Source organism: Homo sapiens, chromosome 6 (assembly GCF_000001405.40).
Source record: "Homo sapiens chromosome 6, GRCh38.p14 Primary Assembly".
Classification (NCBI taxonomy): domain Eukaryota; kingdom Metazoa; phylum Chordata; class Mammalia; order Primates; family Hominidae; genus Homo; species Homo sapiens.
The window spans coordinates 13755157-13781277 of record NC_000006.12 but is presented as its reverse complement, the minus strand read 5'-3'; the positions used below and the strand labels follow the sequence as shown (position 1 = coordinate 13781277).

At 47.4% G+C, this 26121-nt stretch overlaps 4 annotated features.

Annotated features, from left to right (window-relative positions):
* Positions 11682-12182: an enhancer, noted in NCBI's record as "H3K27ac hESC enhancer chr6:13769328-13769828 (GRCh37/hg19 assembly coordinates)". NCBI's record gives its function as "activates a minimal SCP1, AML or CMV promoter by ChIP-STARR-seq in naive H9 embryonic stem cells {active_cell/tissue: H9 hESC(naive)}" and the evidence as "EXISTENCE:reporter gene assay evidence [ECO:0000049][PMID:30033119]".
* Positions 13526-13585: an enhancer, noted in NCBI's record as "active region_24039". NCBI's record gives its function as "activates an Ori minimal core promoter by ATAC-STARR-seq in GM12878 lymphoblastoid cells {active_cell/tissue: GM12878}" and the evidence as "EXISTENCE:reporter gene assay evidence [ECO:0000049][PMID:35858748]".
* Positions 15991-16090: a silencer, noted in NCBI's record as "silent region_16938". NCBI's record gives its function as "represses an Ori minimal core promoter by ATAC-STARR-seq in GM12878 lymphoblastoid cells {active_cell/tissue: GM12878}" and the evidence as "EXISTENCE:reporter gene assay evidence [ECO:0000049][PMID:35858748]".
* Positions 25431-25640: a silencer, noted in NCBI's record as "fragment chr6:13755870-13756079 (GRCh37/hg19 assembly coordinates)". NCBI's record gives its function as "represses an EF-1alpha promoter that drives an FKBP-Casp9 reporter gene in an ReSE screen in phorbol 12-myristate 13-acetate-treated (for megakaryocytic differentiation) K562 erythroleukemia cells {active_cell/tissue: K562(+PMA)}" and the evidence as "EXISTENCE:reporter gene assay evidence [ECO:0000049][PMID:32094911]".

Genomic DNA, 26121 nt, shown 5'->3' with positions numbered 1-26121 from the left:
TCACTGTAGCCTCTGCCTTCCAGGCTCAAGCCATCCTCCCACCTCAGCCTCTGAGGTGGCTGAGACTACAGGCTTGCCACCACACCTGGCTAATTTTTGTATTTTTGGTACACATGGGATTTTGCCATATTGCCCAGTTTGGTCTCAAATTCCTGAGCTCAAGCAATCTTCCCGCCTTGACCTCCCAAGAGCAATTACAGGAGTGAGCCACTGTGCCCAGCCTATTTTCTTAAAAAAAAAAAAAATTAATTACTATTTTCATTTAAAATAAATTGAGACAGGGTCTCACTTTGTTGGCCAGGGTGGTCTTGAACTCCTGGCCTCAAGTAATCCTCCCGCCTCAGCCTCCTAAAGTGCTAGGATTTACAGTAATGAGCTACTGTGCCTGGCCTCTGTTTTTTGTTTTTTGGTTTTTTTGAGACACGGTCTATTCTCTGTCACCCAGGCTGGAGTGCAGTGGTGAGATTTTGGCTCACTGCATTCTCGACCTTCTGAGCTCAAGCGATCCTCCCACATCAGCCTCCTGAGTAGCCGGGACTACAGGCACGCACCACCATGCCTGGCTAATTTTTTAATTTTTTTTTTCTTTTTGAGGCAGAGTGTCACTCTGTTGCCCAGGCTGGAGTGCAGTGGTACGATCTTGGCTCACTGCAACCTCTGCCTCCCAGGTTCAAGCAGTTCTTCTGCCTCAGCCTCCCAAGTAGCTGGGATTACAGGCACGTGCCACCACGCCCAGCTAATTTTTGTATTTTTAGTAGAGACAGAGTTTCACCATGTTGGCCAGGCTGGTCTCAAACTCCTGACCTTGTGATCCACCCGCCTCAGCCTCCCGAAGTGCTAGGATTACAGGCATGAGCCACCACGCCCGGCATGCCCAGACTGTTTTCAGACTGATGTAGTATCCTTCTTCGTGCCTCAAACTAGGTTCTGTTTAGACATGTTACAAGTTAGTGTGCGTTTATGTTGGTGCAAAAACATCTTAAAATCCATACATAGTTTTTTTTCATAATATGCATTTTGCATGAACTTTTTGAAGTCCCCTTGTATAGTGTTGGCTTTGCCATATTGTTTTAATTAAATAAGAGTAGCATAACCTAGGTACAACACCTAAGAAGGAGCAGGAACCCTTTAGAGGCCTACCAAACCCCACATAAAATAAAAAATTTTAAAGTATTGAGTTACTGAAAAAAAATTCCAGGCCGGGCATGCTGGCTCATGCCTGTAATCTCAGCACTTTGGGAGGCTGAGGTGAGTGGATCACCGGAGGTCAGGAGTTCGAGACCAGCCTCACCAAGATGGTGAAACCCCGTCTCTACTAAAAGTACAAAAATTATCCGGGCATGGTGGCATGCGCCTGTAGTCCCAGCTACTTGGGAGGCTGAGGCAGGAGAATTGCTTGAACCTGGGAGGCGGAGGTTGCAGTGAGCCAAGATCGAGCCACTGCACTCCAGCCTGGGTGACAGGGCGAGACTCCGTCTCAAAATAAATAAATAAATAATAAATTCCAGGCACCTAACTAGCCCTAAAAATGAACAATAAGCAAAAAATTAATTAAAGAAACAATAGCAAAAAAGTTAAAGTCATGAGATATTTGTGTTCCCTATAAAAACTAATGATAATGGCCAGGTGTGGTGGTGCATGCCTGTAATCCCACCACTTTGGGAGGCTGAGGTGGGTGGATCACCTGAGGTCAGGAGTTCGAGACCAGCCTGATCAATATGGTGAAACCCTGTCTCTACTAAAAATACAAAAATTAGCTAAGCATGGTGGCAGGCACCTGTAAACCCAGCTACTCGGGAAGCTGAGGCAGGAGAATCGCTTGAACCTGGAAGACGGAGGTTGCAGTTAGCTGAGATCGCACCATTGCACTCCAGCCTGGGGGACAGAGCGAGACTGTCTCAAAACAAAAACAAAAACAAAACAACAACAAAAACTAAAGATAACATGTGAGCATATATCCCTCGGTTGTTTTTCAGAAACCCAGATCCCCACCGAATGGATCCACTGGCACTTAAACCTCAAATAAGGGAGAACTGATGGCTAAACTGTAACCACTGTTCTTTGTTCTAAATTTCTTCTTCCTGAGCAGGCTACAAAAAGTCACACCCTCGAGCCAGAGCTACCATTCTTTTCTACTGACCTCAAATCTTTAAACAAAGCTCTTTTTTAACCAATTACAAATCAATAAATCTTTAAATCCACCTATGACCTATGGGTCCTCACATCGAGATGTCCTCCTTTATATGAGAAGCCAGCATGTAGCCTCCATATATTAATTTATGACTGCCTATAACCTCTGCCTTCCCGCCTTTAAAAACCCTTACCTGTAAGCCTCGGGTCTTAAGCATGAGCTGCCTGATTCTCCTTGCTTGACACCCTACAAATAAACACCCCCAGATCACCTGAGGTCAGGAGTTTGAGACCAGCCTGGCCAACATGGTGAAACCCCATCTCTACTAGAAATACAAAAAATTAGCCTGGCGTGGTGGCACGCGCCTGGAATCCCAGCTACTTGGGTGGCTGAGGAAGGAGAATCGCTTGAACCTAGGAGGCAGAGGTTGCAGTGAGCAGAGATCACGCCATTGCACTCCAGTCTGGGAGACAGAGCAAAAATCTGTCATAAATAAATAAATAAAATAAACGCCCCCCTTTCTCCCACTACAAGCCTCAATATAGATATTTGACCTTACTACACTGGGCAAGTAGACCCTAGTTTGGCTCAATAACACTCCCCTCCCTTTAAAAGGGGCAGGAGTAGAATTCCAACACCTGTTTCTTTTGCTTCTGTTGCCTTAGGGTGGGTGCATGGCAAAAGTATGTACTCCTGTACACCACCCCTCTCCTCTTTCCAGCTTCCTGGTTCCATCTTTTCTAACTATCACCTACAAGAATAACTCAGATCATATATACTTGGTCTGAAATTTGCATGATTATGGGAAAAGAGTACTAAAATCAATTTATATTTGGTAGAATTCGTGGTTGGTAAGGGATGACTGTGGCTTATGCGTGGTTGGTAAGGGCCCTCGGCCTTATTCATAGGGTGGTAAACCTAGAAGTCATTGTGTCCTCTACTGAATTTGTGGAATGCTGCAAATTACTTATGTATCCGATTCCTTCATCCAACCTAGGAACAGAAAATACAGCTATGATACCAGTATGCAATTAACCACAAGGTTGGATACTTATGAAAACAAAAAAGCTGTTGAACTACTCCTGCCCCTTTTAAAGGGAAGGGAGTGTTATCGAGCCGAACTGGGGTCTACTTGCCCTGTGTAGTAAGGTCAAATATCTGTATCGAGGCTTGTAGTGGTAGAAAGCAGGGTGTTTATTTGTAGGGTGCCAAGCAAGGAGAATCAGGCAGCTTATGCTTAAGATCTGAGGCATATAGGTAAGGGTTTTTAAGGCAGGGAGGCAGGGGTTATAGGCAGTCATGAATTAATTTTTTGAGCTTTCCCTATTAATATTTATGTGAATGAGCCTGGACAACATGGTGAAACCCCACCTCTAAAAAATACAAAAATTAAATACAAAAAATTAGCCAGGCATGGTGGCAGGCGCCTGTAGTCCCAGCTACGTGGGAGGCTGAGGCAGGAGAATGGCGTGAACCCGGGACACGGAGCTTGCAGTGACCTGAGATCACGCCACTACACTCCAGCCTGGAGGACGGAGCGAGACTCCTTCTCAAAAAAAAAAAAAAAAAATTAGCTGGGTGTGATGACGCAGGCAGGAGGCTCAGGCAGGAGGATCACTCAAGTCCAGGAGGTCAAGGCTACAGTGAGCTCTGATCATGCCACTGCACTCCAGCCTGGATGACAGAACAGGACCCTGTCTCAAAACAAACAAAAAAACAGAAAGAAAGAAAGAAATGTATGTGGGCTGGGCGCGGTGACTCACGCCTGTAATCCCAGCACTTTGGGAGGCTGAGACAGGCAGATCACCTGAGGTCAGGACTTCGAGACCAGCCTGGCCAACATGGTGAAACCCCGTCTCTACTAAAAATACAAAAATTAGCTGGGCATGGTGGCAGATGCCTGTAATCCCAGTTACTTGGGAGGCTAAGGCAGGAGAATTGCTTGAACCTGGGAGGTGGAGGTTGCAGTGAGCCAAGGTTGCGCCATTGCATTCCAGCCTGGGCAACAAGAGCGAAACTCCATCTCAAAAAAAAAAAAAAAAGAAAGAAAGAAAAAATGTATGTGAATGCCTTTGCTTGGTTGTAAGCACCAGCAAGTGCTAGTAGGCAAGCAGTAGCAAATCTCCAAAGCTTAGAACTCCATGGGAAAACATTTAAGATGGAGAAAACCGTACCTATTACCTTTTTCCTGAGACTTAACAAAACCATGATTATTTCGTTTTAGCAGCACGATATCTTGTTACGGTTGCTAAAAACCAGTTTTTACAGGCAGATATTTGACCAGTAAGAATACTATGAGTCAGGAGCCCTGGCCGTAGCTCCCCACCTTGCCACTTGTTGCACTCTTGGGAAAACCATTTGACCTTGCCAAGCCTAAGTCTTAGTCAGTCCGGACTGCTATTACAGAATACCGTAGACTGGGCGGCTTCAACAACAAACGTTTCTCTCTCACAATTCTGGAGGCTGGGAGGTCTGAAATCATGGTACTGGCTGGCAGATCTGGTGTCTGGTGAGAGCCCACTTCCTGGTTCACAAATGGCTGTTTTCTTGCTGTGTCCTCACACAGAGTGGAGAGACGGAGGAAACAAGCTCTCTAGAGTCTCTTCTTTTTTTTTTTTTTGAGACGGAGTCTTGCTCTGTCGCCCAGGCTGGAGTGCTGGGGCGCGATCTCGGCTCACTGCAAGCTCCGCCTCCCGGGTTCACGCCATTCTCCTGCCTCAGCCTCCCGAGTAGCTGGGACTACAGGCGCCCGCCATCACGCCCGGCTAATTTTTTGTATTTTTAGTAGAGATGGGGTTTCACCGTGTTAGCCAGGATGGTCTCGATCTCCTGACCTTGTGATCTGCCTGCCTCGGCCTCCCAAAGTGCTGGGATTACAGGCGTGAGCCACCGCGCCCGGCCTAGAGTCTCTTCTTATAAGGGCACTAATCCTATCATGAGGGCTCCATGCCTATGACCTCCTCACCTCCTCATACCATCACACTAGGGAGCAGGGTTTCAACACAGGAATTTGGGGGAACACAAATTCAGTCCAGAGCACCTTAGTCCTTATGTTTCGAAAACAACAACAACAATAATTATAATAGGAATGCTTATAGAGCATTTATTTACTGTATTCCAGCTGTAGTTTTTTGTTTGTTTTTTGTTTTGGTGGGGGTTGGGGTCTCGCTCTGTCACCCAGGCTAGAGTGGAGAGATCTCAGGTCACTGCAGCCTCCACCTCCCAGGCTCAAGCAATCCTCCCACCTCAGCCTCCCAAGTAGCTGGGACTATAGGCATGTACCACCACACCCGGCAAATTTTTTGTATTTTTTGGTGGAAAAGGAGTTTCGCCATGTTGCGCAGGCTGGTCTCAAACTCCTTAGCTCAAGCTATCTGCCTGCCTTGGCCTCTCAAAGTGCTGGGATTACAAGCATGAGCCACTACACCTGGCCTCCAGACATAGTTTTTTTGTTTGTTTGTTTGTTTTTCCGAGACAGAGTCTTGCTCTGTCACCCAGACTGGAATGCAGTGGCTGATCTCAGCTCACTGCAATGTCCGCCTCCCGGGTTCGAGCAATTCTCCTACCCCAGCCTCCCAAGAGCTGGAATTACAAGTGCCTCCCACGATGCCTGGCTAATTTTTTTTTTTTTTTTTTTTTTGTATTTTTAGTACAGACACGGTTTCACCATGTTGGCCAGCCTAGTCTCGAACTCCTGACCTTGTGATCCACCCGCCTCAGCCTCCCAAAGTGCTGGAATTACAGGCGTGAGCCACCGCGCCCGGCCCAGGCATAGTTTTAAAGTAATCACAATCTCATTTAATCTTCATCACATCCCTATGAAGTAAGTACTACAGTGATCTCTATTTTGCAGATGAAGATACTGAGGTATAGAAAGTTTCAGTAGACTGGATGAGGTGGCTCACACCTATAATCCCAACATCTTGGGAGGTGAAGTTGGGAGGATCCCTTGAGCCCAGAAGTTTGAGACCAGCCTGGGCAACATAGGGAAACTCCATCTCTATTTATTTAAAAAAAAAAAAGAAAGAAAGAAAGAAAGAAAAAAGTGGGCCTGGCGTGGTAGCTCATGCCTGTAATCCCAGCACTTTGGGAGGCCGAGGCAGGTGGATCATCTGAAGTCAGGAATTCAAGACCAGTCTGGCTAACATGGCAAAATCCTGTCTCTACTAAAAATATTAAAATTAGCCAGGCACAGTGGCGTGCACTTATAATCCCAGTTACTCAGGAGGCTGAGGCAGGAGAATCACCTGAATCCAGGAGGTGGAGGTTGCAGTGAGCCGAAATTGTGCCACTGCACTCCAGCCTGGGTGACAGAGTGAGACTCTGACTCAAAAAAAAAAAAAAAAAAAAAAAAAAAATAGTAATAAAAAAGTTGAAGTAACTTGCCCAAGAACACATAGCTAATAAATGGTGACGTCAGAGTCAAACCGAAGCATTCTGATTCCAGGGAATAGATACCCTACCTGGCTGACCACATGTGGTAAGGATCAAATGAGGTCAAATACATGAAAATATTTTCTAAACAATAAAACCCTGGCCAGGTGCAGTGGCTCACGCCTGTAATTCCAGCACTTTGAGAGGCCGAGGCAGGTGGATCACAGGTCAAGAGTTCAAGACCAACCTGGCCAAGATGGTTAAACCCCGTCTCTACTAAAAATACAAAAAAATTAGTCGGGCATGGTGGCAGGTGCCTGTAATCTCAGCTACTCGGGAGACTGAGGCAGGAGAACAACCTGAACCTGGGAGGCGGAGGTTGCCCTGAGACGAGATCATTCCGCTGCACTCCAGCCTGGGCAACAGAGTGAGACTCCATCTCTAAATAAATAAATAAATAGTAAAACCCCATACCTACATATAAAATGTGTAGTCTGCATGCAATAACTGGAATCCTTTGCTAGTAATTACTAGTAATATTACTTGCCCAACCACCAAACAAGCAAACTTCTGTTAGTACCCTCCCTGGCAACCACCCCAGGGTACTAAGGTGAATTTACTAAGATGCAGTATCCTAGTAAAAGAACATTCTTCTTCGAGTATCTAGGGTACAGACTGTAGTAGGTATTAAAACAACGTAGGTAACCCATGGACATATCCGTAAGCTCTCAAGTGTTATACATCAATCTTCCATGCAGACCCCAGGGTGATTGTGAATATTTATATTTTTATTGGGGAATCTTCGTATAAAGGGGTTGATGTTGACATGGAGCCCACTGTTTGGGTCTCAGAGTCACCCTGAGTTTAGGCCTTAAATACTTGTTTGATTCAGTACCCTTGTTTTTGAGACAGGGTCTCACTTGTCACCCAGAGTGCAGTGGTGCAATCTCAGTTCACTGCAACCTCTGCCTCCTCATGCTCAAGCCATTCTCCTACCTCAGCCCTTCATATAGCTGAGACTACAAGCACGCACTACCATGTCTAGCTAGTTTTCGTATTTTTTTGTAGATAGTGTTGCCATGTTCCCCAGGCTGGTCTATGAACTCCTGGACTCAAGAAATCCGCCTGCCTTGGTCTCCCAAAGCGCTAGTATGTCTGGAACTGGTAGGTTCTTGATCTCATTGAAATTATGAATGAAGCCACGTACCCTCGCGGTGTGTTACAGCTCTGAAGGTGGCGCGTCAGGAGCTTATTCCTTCTGATGTTTACATGTGTTTGGAGTTTTTTCTTTCTGGTGCGTTCGTGGTCTCGCTGCCTTATGAGTGAAGATGCAGATTTTTGTAGTGACTATTAAAGCTCAAAAAAGCAATGTAGACCCACAGAGTAAGCACTAGCAAGGTTTATTGCAAAACACATTCCAAAAACGTGAAAGGAGACCCGAGCGGTTTGCCACTGCTGGTTCCGGCAGCCTGCTTTTATTCTCTTATCTGGCCCCACCCACATCCTGCTGATTGGTAGAGCCGAGCAGTCTGTTTTGATAGGGCGCTGATTGGTGCGTTTACAATCCCTGAGCTAGACACAAAGGTTCTCCACGTCCCCACCAGATTAGCTAGATACAGAGTGTCGACACAAAGGTTCTCCAAGGCCCCACCAGAGTAGCTAGATACAGAGTGTCGATTGGTGCATTCACAAACCCTGAGCTAGACACAGGGTGCTGATTGCTGTGTTTACAAACCTTGAGCTAGATACAGAGTTCCAATTGGTGTATTTACAATCCCTGAGCTAGACATAAAGGTTCTCCACGTCCCCACCAGACTCAGGATCCCAGCTGACTTCACCCAGTGGATCCCGCATAGGTGCTGCAGGTAGAGCTGCCAGCCAGTCCCGCGCCGTGCGCCCGCACTTTTCAGCCCTTGGGTGGTCGACGGGACTGGGCGCTGTGGAGCAGGGGGTGGCGCTCATTGGGGAGGCTCGGGCTGCACAGGAGCCCATGAAGGGGGTGGGAGGCTCAGGCATGACAGGCTGCAGGTCCCGAGCCCTGCCCCGCGGGAAGGCAGCTAAGGCTTGGTGAGAAATCGAGAGCAGCGCCGGTGGGCTGGCACTGTTGGGGAACCCAGTACACCCTTCGCAGCCACTGGCCCGGGTGCTAAGCCCCTCATTGCCTAGGCTGGCAGAGCCGGCCGGCTGCTGCGAGTGCGGGGCCCGCCAAGCCCACGCCCACCTGGAACTCCAGCTGGCCCGCAAGCGCTGCGCAGCCCTGGTTCCCCCTCGCGCCTCTCTCCACACCTACTTGCAAGCTGAGGGAGCCGGCTCCGCCTTGGCCAGCCCAGAAAGGGGCTCCCACAGTGCAGCAGTGGGCTGAAGGGCTCCTCAAGTGCCGCCAAGTGGGAGCCCAGGCAGAGGAGGTGCCGAGAGCGCGCGAGGGCTGTGAGGACTGCCAGCACGCTGTCACCTCTCATTAGGGTTACAGGCGTGAGCCACCAAGCCCAGCTTTCAGTACCCTTCTTTTGTGACAAGATCATTAACTGGGATATTTCATTCTTTTTATTTTCTTTTTTTGAGACGGAGTTTTGCTCTTTCGCCTACGCTAGAGTGCAGTGGCGTGATCTCTGCTCACTGCAACGTCTGCCTTCCGGTTTCAAGCGATTCTCCTGCCTTAGCCTCACAACTAGCTAGGACTACAGGAGCCTGCCACCACGCCTGGCTAATTTTTGTATTTTTAGTAGAGACGGGGTTTCACCATGTTGGCCAGGCTGGTCTCGAACTCCTGACCTGGTGATCCGCCCGCCTCTACCTCCCAAAGTGCTGGGATTACAGGCATGAGCCACCACGTCCGGCCTGGGATATCTCATTCTTAATCATCCAAGTTGACCATCTGCAACACTTCATGAAAAAGTAAAACAAATTTCAGCAACTTTTAAAAACTTCCCCAGAATGTTGGGCTACCCAAATCCTGACCAGGCCCTTGCGAGCATTCACATCTCATCCAAAATCTGCGCTTTATTTGCATAAAACCCTTCTTGCCTGCTCTCAGCTATCAATGGAGTCCAGAAGAGTGTCTCCTACTCTTCTCCAGCAAAGCAGGACTTCAGATCCCAAAAAAGCACAGGAAAAATTGGGACATTTGGAGGGCACACCATCTTTTCACCCCAACTTCTTCTGAGTTAAAAATGTAAGGTATATTTGCCTATTCCGGTGGTGGTGTGTTTCTTTTTTTTTTTTTTTTGAAATGGAGTCTTGCTGTGTCCCAGGCTGGAGTGCAGTGGTATGATCTCAGCTCACTGCAACCTCCACCTCCTGGGTTCAAGCGATTCTCCTGCCCCAGCCTCCAGAGTAGCTGGGATTACAGGCACGCACCAACACACCCGGCTAATTTTTGTATTTTTAGTAGACAGGGGTTTCGCCATGTTGGCCAGGCTGGTCTTGAACTTCTGAGCTCAAGTGATCCGCCCGCCTTGACCTCCCAAAGTGCTGAGATTATAGGCTTGAGCCACCTCACCTGGCCGATGGTGTGTTTCTGTGTCTATGAGACAGTGCCACCAGAATAGGCCAATCCGTAGAGATAAAAAGTAGATTTATGGTTGCCTGGAACTGGAGGACTTCGGGTGAAATAGAGGGTGACTGCTAATCAGGTAGGATTTGTTTCTGAGGTGATGAAACTGTTCTAAAATCAATCATAGTGATAGTTGTACAGCTCAGTAAATATACTAAAAACCATTAAATTGCACATTTTGAATGGGTAAATTGTGTGTTGAAATATGTCTCAATAAAGCTGACATTAAAAAAGTACAACTTCAGAAAGTGCACCATTCTTTTAAAAAAGAAAAAGCAAGTAGTAACGCTAAAAGGAACCTCCGAAATCATCTATCCGTCTACATCTTCAATATACAGATGAAGAACCCAAGCCAGAGAATGTTGTGCTTCATTGCAGAGCTCACAGATGGTGGCTGGAAGGCCCAGCCTGGGGTCCAAATGACGCCGTGGTGGGTCCCCTTCCATGACTCCTGACTCCTCTCCCTTAGAAGAAAATGCTTTGGTTGCTGTTAAAACCCAAATCACTTTTTATTAGGATTTACTAGGCTGGGCGCAATGGCTTATGCCTGTAATCCCAGCACTTTGCCAGGCCAAGGCAGGTGGATCACCTGAGGTCAGGAGTTCGAGACCAATCTGGCCAAGGTGGGCAAACCCCGTCTCTACTAAAAATACAAAAAATTAGCCAGTGTGTGGTGGCAGGCACCTGTAATCCCAGCTACTCGGGAGGCTGAGGCAGGAGAAGTGCTTGAACCTGGGAGGTGGAGGTTGCAGTGAGCTGAGATTTCGCCATTGTACTCCAGCCTGAGCAACAAGAGCAAAACTTCGTCTAAAAAAAAAAAAAAAAAAGGAAAAAAAGGATTTAGTGATGACGAAGTGAAACAATCTAGTCATCATCCCTACGTTTAAAATGATCAACAAGGGGCAAAGTCTACTTCTGATCAGCACAAGGAGAGAAACTGAGATCATAGTTTATAGCCTGGGCAGCAGAGCCAGACTCCATCTCTAAAAAAAAAAATTTTTTTTTTTTAATTAGCCAGGCATGGTGGCGCATGCCTGTGGTCCCAGCTACTCAGGAGGCTGAGGCAGGAGAATCATTTGAAACTGGGTGCTGGGGGCTGCAGTGAGCCGAGATTGCGCCACCGCACTCCTGCCTGCGCAACAAAGCCAGACCCTGTCTCAAAAATAAAAATAATAATAAAATGCAATCATCCGTTTATGAGCGTATGCCCAGCTGCACTGTGGTTCCTAAGGCAGGGCAGGGCCTGCTCACTGCCCCCTGCAGCGGGTGCGGGCTGGCGGTCGCGCGTGGCGGGCAGGGGCTCCCTGTCCACAGGGAGGCTTCTTCCAGGGAACGAGTCCGCATGGAGCCAGAAGGGGGCGCCACCAACAGCTTCGTGGCCCCAGGCGGGAGGTTCAGCGCTTGGACCCGGGGACCCCAAGACACCCGCGCCAGAGGAGAGCCCTGGCGACCTCCTCCCTGCTCCCCCAAACTCCGGACAGACCCAGGCCCAGGCAGGCAAGACGGGTGTGCTCAGAACCCCGCGATTGAGGCGGCCTCCTGGCCTCTCCGCGGGCTTCCTGTCGCAGGCCCGGCCCTCTCAGGCCGCTGGGCCAGGTCGTTCAGGGAGTTGTTGGGTGGCCGCAGGACCCTAGGCTGAGACTCCGGAGCGTGGAGGTTCTGGTCCGGGCCCCACAAAATCTCCGCGAAGCTCAGGTACCTCATCGGTGAACTAAGGACGGCGAGCCCAGCGATTCCGCCGTCCTCTGAGCCCCGCAACTCTGATCCCAAGGCGCGTCCAGCCTGGAGCTCGGGGCACACAGGCCCCGGGACTAGCATCCAGGAGCGCTAACACTGAAGCGCACAAAGACGGGGCCCTCCGTGAGCAAATTCGCATCGCCCCACGGCCGTCATAAGCCACCGAGGCCAGGCGCGGGGACTCGCGCCGGTAACCCAAACCCTGGAGGCCAAGGCGGGACGATTGCGAGCCATGGTGGCGCACGCCTGTGGTTGCAGCTACTCAGGAGGCTGAGGCAGTAGGGAGAGGATCCCTTGAACGCAGGAGGCGGAGCCATGATCGCGCCACTGTACTCCAGCGACAGAGTGAGACCGTGTCGAAAGAAAGAACGAGAGAGAGAGAGAGAGAGAGAGAGAGAGAGAGAGGGAGGGAGGGAGGGAGGGAGGGAGGGAGGGAGGGAGGGAGGGAGACCAAAAAGGGCAATCTTTTTCCTTTTTTTTTTTTTTTTAATATAACTCATTCTCATTCACTCTCAACATTGCCCTGAATCTCCATCTTTTTTTTTTTTCTTCTTTCTTTTTTGAGACAGTTCTCCTGTAGTTCCGGCTGGAGTGCAATGGGGCAATCAAGGCCCACTGCATCCTCAACCTCCTGGGCTTAAGCAGTCCTCCTGCCTCGGCCTCTCAGCTGAGTAGCTGGGATCATAGGAACACACCTAAGCTAATTTTTAAAATTATTTTTAGTAGAAACAAGGTCTTGCTATGTTGCACCAGGCTGGTCTCAAACTCCTGGGCTTAAGCAGTCCTCCCGCCTCGGCCTCCCAAAGTGCTGAGATTACAGGCATGAGCCACTGTGCCCGGCCAATCTTCATTTTTTATCAAAACTGACTTCCTCTGAGAAGGTGTCTGGACCCATCCATTCTTCTCTGTGCTTACCCCTGCTAACATGAACTCCTTGTTAGCTAACATGGACTCCTCCTCCTCAGGACTCCTTGCCTTGTGTCCTGGCAAGGAGTGTGCCCTCCAGAGCCAGGCTGCCTTGGTTTGAACCCTGTATGACGGTGGGCAGATGACTTAACCTCTCAGTGCCTCAGTCTCCTCCTCAGTGAAATAGGGGTAATAGTAATACCTATCTCATGTGGTCCTTAGGAGGATGAAATTAGTTTATATAGGCTGGGCGTGGTGGCTCATGCCTGTAATCCTAGCACACTGGAAGGCCAAGGCGGGCAGATCACCTGAGGTCAGGAGTTTGAGACCAGCCTGGCCGACATGGTGAAACACGTCTCTACTAAGAATACAAAAATGAGCCAGATGTGGTGGTGGGCACCTGTAGTCCTAGCTACTCAGGAGGCTGAGGCACCAGAATCACTTGAAACTGGGAGGTAGAGGTTGCAGTGAGCCAAGATCGGGCCACTGCACTCCAGCCTGGGCAACAGAGCAAGACTCTGTCTCAAAAAAAAAAAAAAAAAGAAAAGAAAAGAAAAGAAATTAGTTTATATAATTAAACCTCATCAGAAGGACTGTCCTCTTACTGGTGTCCCTTCCTAGTACTAAAATAGTGCTCCACTTACTATCTGCTTCCCTTAGCAATCAGTTTCAAGTTAGCACAAAGCCCTTTGCAGTATTTTTTAACAAGGATGTTCTGCTCTTATTTTAAACTCTTGATCCTCACTGGAGAGAAAGTTGTCCCCTTCCTGTTTGCCTCATTTCTCCAAAGCCTTTTGTCATGTTTCCCGAGTGTCCTTTAGCTGTGGCCACCCTCGGACCATGGGACTTTCCCGGTTCTGGGCTTCAGATTACGGTTTAAAATTAGCCACATGACTGTCAGAGGGGGGCACCAGAGGAGGCAGGAAACGTGGTGGGAGAGATGAAGCAGACCTGCGTCGGAGGCAGCGGTGTAGCGGAACAGAGACACGAGCCCCCGCAAACGTTGGCATCCACGGAGGGAGCACGGAGCCTTGGGATCCCCAAGGTTATAACAATCCTGACTTTATGCCATGTTATATGTTTTTGGGCAAGGTCTGCTGCTGCTACAATTCAAGCTGCATTGACAACTGGAATCTTCCGGATTGTTTCTTTTGTGATTATAAAGTGTCTTTGGAGTAGCGTGATGTGGGTGGATGCAGTTTATAGAACTACTTGGACCAATCAGCCTCCTCCTCAAAGGAACACTGGCTTTCCACTCTTCCAGTGTTGGTCTTGCATTTTGGGGAAGAGGAGAAGAGAAAGGACGTCATTTGATTTAAGGACATAAAGAAATACCAGAGCCTGGGGCCGGCCCAGAAAAGACTTAAGCAGGAGTGATTTGTCTTGTATGCATCCTCCCTCCTCTCTCCCGACCTTTTCCTCATTCCATGGTATCCCTTCTTTTGTCTGATGCCCACTGCCCGCCTGTAGTCTTAGTACCCTAACTCACCAAAACCCTCTACTTTCCAGAAAGGGACAAATCTCACCATTGATGGCTTCATTATAAAAGTGGGATTTAACAACAGAGACCTGGATTCAAATCCTAGCATGGGCCGGCTACAGTGGCTCATGCCTCTAATTCCAGCACTTTGGGAGGCTGAGGTGGGAGGATCACTTGAGGTCAGGAGTTCCAGACCAGCCTGGCCAACATGGTGAAACCCCGTCTCTACTAAAAATACATAAAATTAGCCAGGTGCGGTGGTGTGCACCTGTAGTCCCAGCTACTTAGGTGTCTGAAGCAGAAGAATCGCTTGAACCCAGGAGGCCGAGGTTGCAGTGAGCTGAGATCGTGCCACTGCACTGCAGCCTGGGTGACAGCGCAAGACTCTGTCTTAAAAAAAAAAAAAAAATCCTAGCGCATCTGCTTCCTAGTTGTCTGAACTAATCTCTCCTGTGTAAAAGTAGGGATTATAATGCTTACTGTATCTGGTAGCGTGCTTTCAGCGGCAACTAACGGAAAAGCCAACTCAAATGAGTTTAACCAAAAAGGAAATGTATTGGCCTATGTAACTGGAAGTTCACAGATGGGACAGGCTGATTGAACCCTGGTGTCAAGGACCTAGGTTCTTTCTGCATCTCTGCTTTCCATCCTCAGTGTCAGCTGCCTTTTAAGCCTGGCTCCCTTCATAGTCAGAATGGCTGCCACAAAGACACAGGGCCACTCCCTTAACCACAAACTAATAACTGACATCAAGGGAATGCTATGTGCTGATTGGCTTGAGCCTAGATTCCTAAGTCAATCACGAGTAAGAAATAAAAATGAAATTCCAAGCCCCTAACTGACTGAACAGACCCCTTCTTGGCCAAGGGAATCTTGCAAGCTGAATTCACGGCCATGAGGGGATGGGAGATTGGACACGCCTCATTATACCCCCTACCTCTATAACAGCTATTAGGTTTTCTTCCCTCAGGGCTAAACAGAAACCAGCCCTTTCAAAAGACTACTAGTTTATCTTTCCAGGTACAGAACAAAGACACCTTCACCCCTCCTCAGACATCTTCTTCCTCTATTCCCTTTTTCTTCAAATGTTCACCTTATCTTAGGAAAAATGAGCACCAACTAAAGTCTCACAAGTATGTAATCATTTGTCTCATGCCCTGCCCCACTTTCTTCAGGAAAATGTATAAATGCTAAACCTCCTGAGACCCTCTTTGGAAAAAACAGCCACAGATGCTTCTGTGACTCGCATTTTTCCTGGGCACTCCCTTTAAGCTGCCTTGCTAAACCGCAATGATTCGAGACTTATTCCTCCATCACTCATTTTCGTTGTCACTAGCAAGGAGGGATAGGATTACCGTGACTGGTACAGACACCTGTGGTTCCCAAACATGAGCACGCATCAGAATAACCTGAAGGATGTATCAGACCCCACAGATGATGGCCTCAGCTGGAGTTGTTTTTTTTGTTTTTTTTGTTTTTTTTTTTTTTTTTGAGGCGGAGTCTTGCTCTGTCGCCCAGGCTGGAGTGCAGTGGCATGATCTTGGCTCACTGTAACCTCCGCCTCCCAGGTTCAAGCCATTCTCCTGCCTCAGCCTCCAGAGTAGCTGGGATTACAGGCGCCTGCCACCATGCCTGGCTTTTTTAATTTTATTTTTATTTTATTTTTATTTTTTTTAGTAGAGATGGGGTTTCACCATGTTAGCCAGGATGGTCTCGATCTCCTGCACTTGTGATCCGCCTGCCTCAGCCTCCCAAAGTCCTGGGATTACAGGCATGAGTCACCACGCCCAGCTGGCCCGAGTTTTGAATTCAGTAGGTCCAGAGAAGGGCCCGAGAATTTGCCTAACAAGTTCTCAGGTGACAATGATGCTACCACACTTTGAGAGCTACTAGCATAAACTAATCAGGGGAACCTGTAGACTGGGGTCAGTTCCTCAAATGGCACAGCGAGGAAGCAGTAAAATTGATGTTGGAGAGTTAATTGTGAGCTTCAAAACCTTGTAGCAGGCTGGGCACAGTGGCTCACGCCTGTAATCCCAGCACATTGGGAGGCCGAGGCAGGCGGATCACTTGAGGTCAGGGGTTCAAGACCAGCCTGGCCAACATGGTGAAACCCTGGCTCTACTAAAAATACAGAAAAATTTAGCCGGGTGTGGTGGCACACACCTGTAATCCCAGCTACTCAGGAGGCTGAGGCAGGAGAATCACTTGAACTCGGGAGGCGGAGGTTGCAGTGAGCTGAGATTGCGCCACTGCACTCTAGCCTGGGCAACAGAGCAAGACTCCATCTCAAAAAAAAAACAAAGAAAAGAAAAAAAACAGGCCGGGTGCGGTGGCTCACGCCTGTAATCCCAGCACTTTGGGAGGCCGAGGCAGGCGGATCACAAGGTCAGAAATTCGAGACCAGCCTTGCCAACATGGTGAAACCCTGTCTCTACTAAAAATACAAAAATTAGCTGGGCATGGTGGCACACACCTGTACTGAGGCAGGAGAATTGCTTGAACCCAGGAGGCAGAGGTTGCAGTGAGCTGAGATCGTGCCACTGCACTTCAGCCTGGGTGACAGAGCAAGGCTATGTCTTGGAAAAACAAAACAAAACAACAACGAAAAACCTTGTAGCATAAATACGGGATTGTTTCAGTTGCATATTGCTGTGTAACAAAATACCCCCAAACTTAGTGACTTAAAATAGCAATTTTTTACTATTTCTGATGATTCTGTGTGTTGGCCGGGCCCAGTTGGGCTGTTTTCACTTGGGGTCTCACATGTAGCTATTCTCAGAAGTTGGGTGGGCCCCAAACCATCCACAAGCTACAAGGAGCTGGATGTCCAAGATGGCTTCTACATTCACACATCTGGCTAGAATAGCTGAGGGCTGGCCAGGCATCTCTTTCTCCACTCAGCTACTCCACATGGCTAGCTTGAGCTTCCTTACAACATGGTGGTTTCAGGATAATTGGATTTTGTATTTAGCAGTTGACTTTCTCAGAATGAGCATCCTAAGGGACCAAGGCAGAAGCTGTAAGGCCTGATTTAGCCTTGCAAAGGCCACACGGTACCACTTCTGCCTCATTCTGTTGATTACGAAAGAGTCACAGGGCCCACTCAGATTGAAGGGAAAGCCCCCACAGAAGGGCATGAATATGCAGAGGCAAGGGCTATAGGAAGCCATCTTGGAAATTAGCTTCTGCAGGGATTAAAGGAGATCATTCATGTGGAGTCCTGAGTAAGAACGAAAGTAACGTATTTACCACAAGTAAGTGCTCAGGAAATTAGCATTATTATTATTATTGCTGTTCTTTTCAGGGGAATTTGCCTATTATACTTTATCTGTTATTGAGGAATTTAAGGTTTTCTCAACTAGAAAAGGATTTTCAGGCACTAGCCAGAAGGTGAGGCAGTATTTTCTTAAGAGTGATCTTGTCAGTATCCTCAAAACTGTATAAACAACTATTTCTTTGACCAGGAGTAAGACCTGTATTTTCAAGTATATCAGCCTATGCAGTGGAAATGTTTCTTTTCTATTGGTTTCCATGTGGCTCCTACATTAGAATTTGGCTTTTGATGAGACATTTTTATTCAGACTCTTATAGATGAGCTAATTTTACTAATAATTATGACAGTGCTTTTAATACTGCTATATTATTAATACATCAGTATTTAGATAAAAGATAGTTCTCAAATGTCCTGTTGCACATTTCAGTTCTGGAAAATTTCTAGAACAACAATTTATCAAGACACTATCACTCCCATTCAGCCATCTCTATTCTGAGGACAAATACACCTTGCAAATTTGCATAATATCATGCATCACTTAGTTTCAGAATGGTCTCATACATAGAATGATTTTTCTTAATTTATTTCTGCCAAATGTGTGTGTGTGTTTGTGTGTGTGTGTGTGTGTGTGTGTGTGTCTTAGCTACTGGTGGTTTTTATTTTCCTTTCCCTTAGAGTGTGAAAGAGAGTTGTTTTTTTATTTAACCTCTTGATCAAGGAAAACTTGAGGGGCTTTCCTTTTCTGCATGTTGTTGGGGGTCGGGGAGGAGCAGGTGTAAGCTGTAAGAAAAATCTGCTGGTCCAGAGGGAAAAAAACAAGGAGCGCCTGAGGAGCCAGGGTGTTCTGTCTGTTCGCTAATGTACCCATGCAGCCCTGCCAAGCTCTGATGTGTTTAGACTTGAGCTTCAAGGGGGAGATTGCACAAAAGCAAGTTCCTGGGATTTGTTCTGCAGTCTGAGTAGGCTGGGGTGTTCTCACTGAGCTATTTCTGTATAAAAAGCTGTCTGGAACCATCTGAGAAGCCACTAACCACTGTGGTTTACTGGAATATGCCTTCTATTCACTCTCTGTTGCATCATTTCCCCTCCATTTTATGCTCAAAAGAACGACTGTGTGTGTCCATGTATACATCCATGTGCGTGTGAGTTCCAGAGTTGCGTTGCCATGGAGTTATTTGGAAAAGGCATCTTGTGAACCACTTGAACTGAACATACAAAAATGCATCTCAAAAATCAAAGCTGCTCTTATATGCATAGACTCTTTCTGGAAGGATACACAAAAAAATTCATAACAGTAGTTGCCTGGGGGGATGGGAACTGCAGGGGGGAATGCTGTGAGGGGGGTATACTCTTCACTGTGCACTGCTTAATTTTTTTTATCATGAGCATGTAATAGATTTTTTAAAAATGAAAACTGGGCCAGGCGTGGTGGCTCACGCCTGTAATCCCAGCACTTTGGGGGGCTGAGGCAGGCGGATCACCTGGGGTCAGGAGTTCAAGACCAGCCTGACCACCATGGTGAAACCCCGTCTCTATTAAAAATACAAAAATTAGCCGGGCCTGTTGTCGGGCGCCTGTAATCCCAGCTACTCAGGAGGCTGAGACAGGAGAATCGCTTGAACCCAGGAGGTGGAGGTTGCAGTGAGCTGAGATCACGCCCATTGCACTACAGCCTGGGAACAAGAGTGAAACTCTGTCTCAAAAAAAAAAAAAAAGAAAGAAAGAGAGAAAGAGAAAGAAAGAAAGAAAGAAAGAAAGAAAGAAAGAAAGAAAGGAAAGAAAGAAAGAAAGAAAGAAAGAAAGAAAGAAAGAGAAAGAAAGAAAGAAAATGGATGTTTAAATACTAAGGCTCCTCTTGGGAAATATTCCCTGACTCAAATATCTCTCTTGACTCCTGCACCCAACTCCCCAGGAGGAAATTGGGAATCTCTGAACAATCCGTGGGCTGAATACGAAGGAATCTGCCTGGCTTCTTGGATACACACTTCATACTCTCAAGGACAGCCCTCTTTATTGGAATGCACAAAGTATGTGGAAAAGAGATACCATGTCTTGTCGGATTCAATTTTGCTCCTAACATAGTGTGGATTAAAGAGTAATCAATAGTGACTTTAAGCACATTCTTTCCGGCAGTATCACAGAGAAAATGCAGCTGGTAGTGAATGTACCAGCCTGCTGATTGCAGGGAGCTAAACATGTGTATTGTATCTCCAGATGCCTGACACTACCTGCCAAGCCAACATGAAGCACCCACCCAGGTTGGACCAGGAAGCTTCCTACCTGGTCACGTAGGAAAAGACTAAACACATTCATAACGTGTCTATACAGGTATTGATTCTCCAAGAGATGATGGATCAGGCTTCAGAAAGAGTGGTGACCTTATTGTATGTTTCTGTATTATCTTTGCTGAGCTAATGGCCCACTTCCAGACCAAGAGCACAAATTACAAATGAATGCCCCCAACAGCAGTTCCTTTTCCATCTTTACTATACGGGGAGCCCACTAAAATAAAGGCTGTCAATGCAGCATCTCTCATTGACAGTCTGTTCATTGTGGGCTAACTGGATTGTACTGGACAGAGTTCTATTCACTGGAAATCATTAGCCAACTCCAGAGGGAGGAAAACGGAATAAAAAGGAAAAACATTGCCCATCACGAAAATAACTCGAGAATTGTGCAATCTGGCAACATTGGTCATCTGTGTTGAACTTGCTTTCAGCACTCTGTTAAGTGTACTGTACCACACCCTACCTCTGAAGCGATTACTCCCTTCCTTTTGAATAGCAAAGTAATGGGAACTGGAAAAACTTCTGTGAATTTGGCAAGGTTTAGTATAAATGTTTCCATTAAATCTGGGCAAGGCATGGATGGGGGAGGGAAACGCATCCACCGATTATGCTTTTGTGCTACCTCTTGGTTGAGGGTTACCTTTCAGAGGTGAAGCCAAACTTTTCCCATCCTTGAGATCATGCCTAGACCTAGTATACTTGGCTGACAATATGATTTTGCTACACAGCTTATATATCGTTCACATATGTTTGGAATTATCATGGAACTTCATGTTGTACTGAAAGGTTTCCCACAGCAAATTCTTTTGCACATAGAGCTACCTAGTGTCAGAGTTTCTTCCTAAGGACACCACACTTTTCCATTTAACACAACAGGGCAGGTGCTTCAGAGGATTTCAGTTCAGTCGGGAGAAATTTACTGACTGTTTTCATACATGTTCATGTCTTGTTGCACAGCCACTCTGCGAGGCTGACATCATTGACTTAACTTTACCAGGGAGTAAGCCATTGCTCAGGGAAGTGAGTGACCTGCCAAGGCTGCCCCACTGGTACATGCCAGAGCTGGGACTCACACCCAGGTCGTTCTGGCTCTTATGGGAGCTTCCTCCCCTGCAGTAAAGCCCTCTTTGATGCTGAAGGTCAAGGTGTGGCTCATAGTTTGGACAGGGCTTTTAGGGAGCCTGGCCAGACCCTGGAGGGACGTTGATGAGAATGGGGACTTGGAGTGGGAGAGTTTCGGTAATCCACCACACAAGTGCACCTGGAGCCTGAGAGGTGGGGTTCCTCCAGCTTAAGGGCAGGTATGGAGGGACTAAGCCACAGGGTAGGACTTTAGAAAGACTGAGGAAAACACAGGTGGGCCTTTAGTTGTGGAGGATATAAAGGAAGCCATGATGGCATTGACACAGAATCAAAGGTATCAAAGGGGTCAAGATGAAAAGCTTCAAGGCGAAACTTTCATCACAGGGGCTATGGTGGTGAGCCAATTACTGGAATCAGGTCACAGCAAGACCAGCACCAGCCTGACTCGGTACTAAGCCTCTACTATGTGGCAGGCACTATTCTAGTTATTATGGAAGTAGCCATGAACAAAGTAGATCAAGTATCTGCCTTCGTGAAACTGGAGTATAGTGAGAGAAGATGAATAAACAAGGAAATATATATCTAATTAGGTTAAATACTATAGGGAAAAAAGCTGCATAATGGAGTTCGTCGTGCTGGTGACGGTGGTGGTGTTTGCTATTTTACATAAGGTAGTGAGGGAAGGCCACAGGCCATGGGACATTTGAGCAGAGACTTGAAGGAAGGGAGAGGGTAAACTTCCTGAATACCTGGGAGAAGAGCTTTGCGGGCGGAAGGAACACTTACCGCAGAAGCTTTGAGATCAAGGGTACTTGGGGTGTTTTGGTATAGCAAAGAGATCAGGTTCACAGGTCAGGGAAAGCAGTGTCTGAGATGATGGTTGGCACACATATGATGCTTACTAGGAAGTGCTCTTGGGATCAAACCATGGAAGGGAAAGAGGGGCAGGAAGCAAGACTGGGCAGAGGGGGATGAGCTGTGATGCAGTCTCAACTAAAGCCCCAGACAACCCCATGGGGATGTTGAAGATAGGATGGCCCTTCAGAGCTGCTCTGAGCTGGGGAGAGGGGACAGGCCTTTACACCTCCAAACCATTCAGCCACTGGATACTGGCTACGTTGAGAAGGGAGTGAGATAGGGTGTTGAGGGGGACAGCGCTCTCCAGCCAAGGCCACCTCAGCATCCGAGGGGTGGCAGCCAGGAGCACGCCTCAGCTCCTGAAGGACGCTCTAGGCAGCACCTGCTGGTGGGATTGGAGCTTGAGCCAGGAGGCAGGGACAGAAGATGAGCTCAGGGAGGTGTCCAGGAGCCAGACTGGGGGAGCCACTGTGGGCCATGGTAAAGACATGGCCTTCTCTTCCTCATGAGGTGGGGAGCCATCGAAGGGTATGACAGAGGAATGCTAAAGTCTGGCTTCTGGGTTAACCTGATCACGCTGGCAGCTGTGTGGAATAGACCGCAGACGGGCGAGGGGGAAGCACGCAGGCTCACTAGGGGGTGCCTGTAGTCCTCCATGAAAAAGGAGACCAGTGTGTAGCTGGTGGCGGGTGTGAACAGTTGTTGGATTCTGGATATATTTTGAAGACAGAGCCAATAGGATTTGCTGATGAATTGGATTTGGGGTGTGAGAAGGAGAAAAAAATGAGGACAACACCAGTGTCTCTCTGGAGTAACTAAAAGGCTGGTGTCACCATTTACTGACACGGGGAAGCTTGTGTATGGGTTTCCTATTGCCACCATAACAAACTATCACAACCTTAGTGGCTTAAAACAACACTAGTATGCTCTCTTACAGTCCTGGAGGTCAGAAGCCTAAAGTCAAGGGGTTGAGTCTGGGTGTGGTGGCTTGGTTTGTGCCTGTAATCCCAGCACTGTGGGAGGCCAAGGCAGGTGGATCACCTGAGATCACCTGAGGTCAAGACAAGCCTGCCAACATGGTGAAACCCTGTCTCTACAAAAAATACAAAAAAAAAAAAATTAGCTAGGTGTGGTGGAGCAGGCCTATAATTGAACCTGGGAGGTGGAGGTTGCAGTGAGCTGAGATCATGCCAGTACACTGCAGCCTGGGCAACAGAGGGAGACTGTGTCTCAAAAATAAATAAATAAATAAATAAACAAATAAATAAATAAATGATAAAGTCGAGGGGTTGGCAGGGCTGTGTTCCTTCTGGAGGCTTCAAGGGAGAATCCATTTCCTTGTCTTTTCCAGCATCTAGAGGCTGCCTGCATCTCCTGGCTCATGGCCTCTTCTCCATCTTCAGAGTACGTCATTCCAGCCTCTGGTTCAGCTGTCACATCTCCTTTCTCTTTCTGACTCTGATCCTCCTCCCTCTCTCTTATAAGGACCCTTGTGATGACATTGGTCCCTCCCACATAATCCAGCAGCATCTCCTCATTCTCAAGATCTTTAATTTTCTCACATCTGCAAAGTCCCTTTTGCCCTGTATGGTAGCATGCACAAGTTCTGGGGATTCGGATGTGGACATCTTTGGGAAGCCGTTATTCACACTTTGGAAAGAGCCTGTTTTGCAAGGTAGAATCTGACTTTCATTGTGGACATGTTAAATTTGAGATGCCTTGTTAAATGTTCAGGTGGAGATGTCAAGTCAGCAGTTGGATACGATATGAGTCTGGCATTCAGAAGAGCAGTCCCAGCTGAAATATGAATTTGGTAGTTTTCACAATATACAGAAGTGCCCTCTTATCTGTGGGGGATACTTTCCAAGACCCTCAGTGGGTCTGTGGGCCTGAAACCTCAGATATTACCAAACCCTATATACTGTGTTTTTGCCCATAGATACATAATCATGATACAGTTTAATTTACAAATTAGGCACAGTAAGAAATTAACAGTAACTGGTAATAAACTAGAACAATTAAAACAGTCTACTGTAATAAAAGTTATGTGAATGTAGTCTCTTTTCTCCTCCCTGCCTCTCTCTCTCCCAAAATATCTTTTTTTTTTTTGAGACCTAGTCTTGCTCTGTCACCTAGGCTGGAATGCAGTGGCACCATTTCGGCTCACTGCAACCTGGACCTCCCAGGTTCAAGCGATTCTCCTGCCTCAGCCTCCCAAGTAGCTGGGACTACAGGCACGTGCCACCATGCCTGGCTAATTTTTTCTTTTTCTTTTTTTTTCTTCTCTTTCAAGACAGAGTGTCGCTCTATCACCCAGTCTGGAGTGCAATGGTGTGACCTCCGCTCACTGCAACTTCTGCCTCCTGGGTTCAAGCAATTCTCCTGCCTCAGCCACTTGAGTAGCTGGGATTACAGGCCCCTGCCACCACACCTGGCTAATTTTTGTAGTTTTAGTAGAGATGGGGTTTCACCATCTTGGCCAGGCTGGTCTCAAACTCCTGACTTCATGATCCATCCACCTTCGCCTCCCAAAGTGCTGGGATTACAGGTGTGAGCCACCGCGTCCAGCCTAATTTTTGTATTTTTAGTAGAGATGGGGTTTCACTCTGTTGGCCAGGCTGGTCTCGACCTTAAGTGATCTGCCCTCCTCGGCCTCCCAAAATGCTGGGATTACAGGCATGAGCCACTGTGCCTGGCCCCAAAATATCTTATAGTTTGGGACCACAGGTGACCATGGGTAACTGGAACCAAGAAAAGTAAAACTGCGGAGAAGAGGGGACTACTGTATTTAAAGCCACATGACTAAATGATGCCAGCTAGGGAGTTGCTGTACAGTGAGGAGAGAAGTCTGAAGATTGGGCCCTGGAATATTCCAGTGGTTGGGGATTAGGGAGAGAAAGATCCAGGAAAGAGTGTGAGGGAGTGGGGAGAAGTTGAGAGAATGCTGGTCCAGAGGCCAAGGACAGGGAGACAGCAGAGAGAGTAACAAGCTCCATAGGAACAGGAGGACTGAGCAGTGCCCACTGGATTTGGCTGGTGACCTTGACAAAGGCAGTAGATCTCCTGTTTGAGAGGAGGAAGAGGGGTGACAGCCTGATTAAAATGGGCTCAAGGCCAAGTACTGTGGCTCATACCTGTAATTCCAGCACGTTGAGAGGCCGAGGCAGGTGAATCACTCGAGGTCAGGAGTTTGAGACCAGCCTGGCCAACGTGGTGAAACCCCATCTCTACTAAAAATACAAAAATTAGACCAGGCACGGTGGCTCACGCCTGTAATCCCAGCACTTTGGGAGGCTGAGGCAGGCGGATCATGAGGTCAGGAGATCGAGACCATCCTAGTCAACTTGGTGAAACCCCATCTCTACTAAAAATACAAAAATTAGCTGGGCGTGGTGGCGCATGCCTGTAGTCCCAGCTATTCGGGAAGCTGAGGCAGGAGAATCACTTGAACCCGGGAGGCAGAGGTTGCAGTGAGCTGAGATCACGCCACTGCACACCAGCCTGGCGACAGAGCGAGACTCCGTCTCAAAAAAAAAAAAAAGCCGGATGTGGTTGTGCACACCTGTAATCCCAGCTACTTGGGAGGCTGAGGCAGGAGAATCCCTTGAACTCGGGAAGCGGAGGTTGCAATGAGCCAAGATGGTGCCACTGCACTCCAGCCTGGGCAACAGAGCGAGACTCTGTCTCAAAAAACAAAGGGCTCAAGATATAATGGGAGGGGAAGGATTGGAGACAATCAGTGGAGACTACTTTCTGAAGAGCTTTGTTGGAAAAAGGAGTGAAGAGATGGGGCAGTAGCTAGCGTAGACTTGGGAGCAAGAGAAGACCAGTGAGTGCAGGGCATTCCAAGGGCAGCTCCGATTCCAGAATCTGGGCCAAATGGAATCTACGGGTGGGCACAAAGGGGTCCACCTGAAGGTTAGAAATGAGATGGTTCCAGGGGGAGAGGCCTAGCAAGTCCTGGTGTGGGGGGTGGAGGAAGGCAAAAGAGCAATACAGATGTGCTTCTCCTTATCCAGTGAATGTCTCCCTACAGATGCTGAAAGCCTGAACAGGAACTGAGTTTTTTGAAAATTTGATCTGATTTTAACTACACTGGGAAAATTATTTAAAGGAAACTACTAGTGATTTTTAAGGTGAAAAAATACTCTCCAAATAGAATTATGCTATAAGAATTTCCATGTATCAGTTTTTCCAAAACCTGAGTACACTTATAAGTACATATTTTAGTTCTCTAGTCCATCTAGTACAAAACTAAATATATAAGATTTTCTTCAAATCATTGTAAACTTTTTTTTAATGGAGACATCACAATATGACTGTGAGATTATAGAATGGTATGGTTTTAGTTTTGAAAAGCTAAAACACGGAGCAGGAAAGTTATTTTCCAGATGCCACTGAATAAGTGCCCAGCCAAGCCTGGCAATGAATCAA